At 52.9% G+C, this 4912-nt stretch overlaps 1 annotated feature.

Moving 5' to 3' along the window:
• Positions 3994–4288: a silencer, noted in NCBI's record as "tiled region #8952; K562 Repressive non-DNase unmatched - State 23:Low". NCBI's record gives its function as "represses a minimal TATA promoter and a strong SV40 promoter by Sharpr-MPRA in K562 cells {active_cell/tissue: K562}" and the evidence as "EXISTENCE:reporter gene assay evidence [ECO:0000049][PMID:27701403]".

Here is a 4912-nt window from a genome sequence, read left to right on the forward strand (position 1 = left end):
GGCTTCGTCGCTGTTCCAGGTGGGGCGGGACCAGGTCTCCGTCATGAGCACCTCCCCGTCCTGTGGCTTCGTCGCTGTTCCAGGTGGGGTGGGACCAGATCTCCGTCCTGAGCACCTGCTCCTCCTGTGGCTCCATCATGAGCACCTTCTTCTCCTCCTGTGGCTCCGTCATGAGCACCTCCTCCTCCTTCTCCTGTGGCTCCATCATGAGCACCTCCTCCTCCTTCTCCTGTGGCTCCATCATGAGCACCTCCTCCTCCTTCCCCTGTGGCTCCGTCATGAGCACCTCCTCCTCCTTCTCCTGTGGCTCCATCATGAGCACCTCCTCCTCCTTCTCCTGTGGCTCCGTCATGAGCACCTCCTCCTCCTTCTCCTGTGGCTCCGTCATGAGCACCTGCTCCTCCTCCTCCTGTGGCTCCGTCATGAGCACCTCCTCCTCCTCCTCCTGTGGCTCCATCATGAGCACCTCCTCCTCCTTCTCCTGTGGCTCCGTCATGAGCACCTCCTTCTCCTTCTCCTGTGGCTCTGTCATAAGCACCTGCTCCTCCTTTGGCTCTGTCATGAGCACCTCCTTCTCCTCCTCTTCCTGTGGCTTCATTGCTGTTCCAGGTGGGGCGGATGAGCTCCTTGCCACATGCTCCAGTGAGACCCGGGATGCTGTGCTGGAAAGCCTCAGGGAGAGTGGGAGCCTGGGCTCTGCACCCCACAGGGCCAGCCCAAAGTCTCAACGTGGCCTCAGCCCTGGAAGGAGGTCTGGGAGAGTAAGAGCAGACCCCGTCAGAAATCCCATACACACAGCTGACCCCAGTCCAGGGGGTGCTGGGGTGGGGCTATTCTAATTCAGCTGTAACATTTTATAAAATATCAGGTGCAGGGACTCATTCCTGAAATTGGATATGGGAGTTTTGAGCAACTATTTGGTAGCTAACAACCACAGTGTCCCCAGCTTCCAGCACTCAGTAATGAGTTGGATCTGGGGACAGTATGGCGGAGGGCCCATTCACCAAGTCCATGGTGGTGCTGCGATTTCCAGACTGGGTGATTCCTACAGGCAGGGAAGGTGCAGATGGTTCTTGTTCCTTGGGCATGGTGCCAGATGAGATCGTTGCTAAGGATTCTTCCGGTTTTAAGAGCTGATCACGGAAGAGATGAGAGGGAAGGAGGCAGGACAGATGAACCAGGGAGAAGCATGGCTGTCACTGCTTGTGGGTTGCTTAAGATCTGCAAGGCCTGTTCCTGCTGTGATCTTCCCAAAGCTTCACGAGGGAGATAGGAAGAACGCCTGCTGCACATCCCACAGCTTAGACGAAAGCTCTGCGGCTCTGAGAGGCTCCCTGACCTGCCCGTTCTCACAGCTCAAAGAGAACAGAGGGCAGATCTCTAGTTTCTGAGCACTGCGGTCTTTCACCAATCCAAAGGGGGACTCTGGAAAGGAAGGGACTCTTATCGGACTTTGCAGATGGCACAGGCAGGCATGGCCCCTGCAGGGATGTGGGCAGTGGAGGGGATGGGGTCTCTGCCTGAAGAACTTGACATAACACCTAACACCACCAACACCTAACACATAACACCTAACATCACCGGGACTGTTCATCTCTCCCTGAAGGCCAGACTAGGACACATGCATAGCGGAAAACTGTTTAAAATACAGACTTTAAATATATAGGAGTCGTTGTGTTTTCTATAGTCAATCTGTAACTAAGGTTTTCAAGGCAGAAAAATAATGCTTCTGCTATCACCACGATTTAATTTTACTTGCGGCACATTCGTGATTCCCAGGCATCTTTATAGTGTTACTTTGACAAGTTTACATTCATTTTTATAGCTCTCTGTGTGAAACTGCTTTGAAGAGGCAAAGCACCATATAGGGTCTAAGTATTATTACTTTTTTTTTCCTCTGGGAAGGAAACTTTTAATATGCTTCTTTGGAGTTCAGAAGCCAGGAAAGGCCCCCAGTGGGTGAGGGTCCCTCATTGGCATCAGACACCCCATTTAACACGAAAGTGGAGGAGGCAGCAGCGGATGGACTTGGGCAGTCTGGATGCATCTCAGCCTCCTGGAAGAGTCCTCCAGACCCCATCCCTGTGCCCAGATCCTGCTCCATGCTGCCACTCCACCTGCCAGCCCTTGCTCTCAATCTGGGGTCCAGATGTCTCCTGTGCTCGCATCTCGTCCTTGACCCTCTGGCTCTTCTGACACTCTCACTTCCAGACTTAGCCGACCCTCCGCTGCTGTCAACACTCTTGTTCTAGAACACACAGGACGCTAAATGTGAAGCAATTGGCAGGGTGCTTCTCCTGGGCTTGGAAACCCGGGAAGGAAACATCTACCTTCAGATCACAAGAGATGTCAGCTCTGGAGTGAAGCTTTTGGAAGACTCACATCAAGCCCAAATACCAAAGCCAGGGCAACACAAACTTCTGTCTAAAGTCATTAGTTTTGACTGAATTAACCCAGAACAAACTGGCAAGGAGAGAGAACGCAGTCGGCTTCCTGAGTGTGGAGTCAGCACTCATGCACAGCCATGTCACAGTGGCTGCTGCCTTGCCGTGTGGGTTATTCAGGGTGGCAGGTCCCTTCGCAGCACGAGTGTCAGCACAGAGTAGGCCTGATGCGGCACGGGGCTGCCTGGGGGGAGATTATTCCCATTTAGTCTTGCCATTTTCTAAAGCAAGGGCACAGTTATTCATTTCTGAAATTTAATGAAAGATGCGGGGCCTTTGAATAATTATTTGGTAACAAACAAGAGTGTTAAATGTTTCTGGCACCAGGGACTTGATTTGTTGGCAGATATGGGGCATGGGCCATGTGGCCAGTCCCCGCCTGCTCTGAGACTGGGAGGCTGTGGACCAGTGAAGCCCAAGAGAGAAGCATGAAGCTGGAGGAGAAAACAAGGCAGGAGAAAGGCCCTGGGTTCAGGTGAGCGTGGATGCGGAGGGCTCCCTGGGAGACCAGGGAGGTGTTGGGTTATGAGCCTGCAGCTTCCATTGTGTCCAGGAGTTCGAATGGGGCTTGGATATCCTGAGCTGGGAAGCAAGGGATACCCCAGCTCTCCTTGGAGTGCAAGCAAAGCCCAGAGCAGAGAGAAAGTCAGAAGAAGGCCTGCTTCAGGAGTGGATGGCAGGAGAACCATGGGGCAGAACCTGACATCCAGAAATGCACCATCTGCACGCAAGGGGGGCTCCGTATAGACCATGGGTGCTCACCAGGGTGGGCCCTGCACAACTCAGGGTGGCAGGAGACACTTTCGCCAGGGACCCAGTCTCAGATCTAAGCGGTATTGCCATGTGAGCCCCTGACCCTTGGGACCCACCCAGCTTTGTCTCTGCACATGTGCACATTTTCTCTGTGCTGAGGCTGTCCTCACAGAGACTGTGCAGGGCTTCCACCAGCAGCAATGGTGCTTCTGTTTCTCCTCCTGAGAGCAGAGCTGGGCCCCAGCCCCAATGGCACTGGCTCTCCACATTGGAGCATCAGTGGAAGGGTGCGTCCTCTCCTCTGCCCTGGGTGGTTCAATGCAGAAGTGCTCAGCACACCCCTCTCTGTCCTCATCTGCTGAGGACACAGACACTGAAGCAGGGAATCCAAAGTTTCTGTGGGGACAATGCCACTGGAGGGCCCCTGAATGACTTGGCTGTCACCCATAAAACTGTGATTTGAGCAGGAAATAAATCTCCATGGCGTGGAGTTACTAGGGTTTGGAGAATGTTTGTCACTACACTCAGCCTATCTGCCAGGTGCATGAGGGCATGAATGAACATTGGAACACAGCTGCCAAAGAAACTCCAGTTCCTGAACAAAGGGGCCTCGACCTGGAGGGACTCTGCTCTTCTTCACTCCTCCTGGAGCCATGGCTTCCCTGGAGTCTGGCCTGCTTAAGGACAGACGTTGAAGGTTTATATCATGTGCAACAAATGTTCAGCAAGAGGGGTGGAGTCTTTGTCATGTCAGAAGGGGCAGAGCCAGACACTGATGAATGGCGGGAAAGACAGACTTTACACAGGATGATTCCAGCAAGAGAGAGAGGCTAGACTCCAACCATGGCAGGGGCAGCTGGAATGTGCGGCCAAGAAGCAGTGGGTGGTCACCAGATGGAAACCACTCAGAGGAGACAGTGGGGAAGGGGTTCTTGCTAAACCGGTCTGACAGGGCTCCTGCTAAGGAGGCATGGGCTAGGGGTGAGGAATTTGATCAGATATGGAGAGTGGGGGATTCCTAGGAAACTGATGTCACCTGATTCTTGCTAAAATTGCGCTGGACAGCCAAGGACAGGGCCCGAGGCTGAGGCCTGGTCTAAAGGAAGGCTCCGAGGATCCTGGGTAGAGTTTGCTCAGACAGAGTCTCTGTCATGAAGAAGCCAAAACAGAGGCCCTGGCCAGGAGACACAATTCTCTCCAGCCCAGAACCACTTCAGAGCACTTGCCAAACAAGATCTAAGATTTGTAGCAGCAAGCTCTTCAGCAGGCTGACAAATACTTACCCGTGAAACAGATCACTGTTTGCATGCGGAGCGCCGCCCTCTGGGGATGCAGCTCCTAGTTGTGGTTCCTCATTTGTTATGTGATTGAAATATGAAAATCATTTAATCTGGCTACATAGCTTCAATATATTGATATTAACTATAAAAACAAATTCCGTCCGCAGGCCAAATCAGCAGATGGGTTTCAAACATTTTAGGAATATAAAGAGGTCACTTGGCATGCGGTAACTCAGATAAGCACTGAGCCCAGTGCATAGCAGGAGGCCCAGGGAGTGGCCTCATTCCTTTCCCCCAACCTCCTGCTGTGTCCTTGTCATTTCTGTACACAATAAAATCTGGCTCTTGCGCTTAGGAGCATGTCAGGGTTGCCGGGAGGGGCGGGGGATGCAGATAAACCAGCAATGACTGGCCCCACTCCCAGAGTTTCTGATT

The sequence above is a fragment of the Homo sapiens genome, chromosome 10, assembly GCF_000001405.40.
Source record: "Homo sapiens chromosome 10, GRCh38.p14 Primary Assembly".
NCBI lineage: Eukaryota > Metazoa > Chordata > Mammalia > Primates > Hominidae > Homo > Homo sapiens.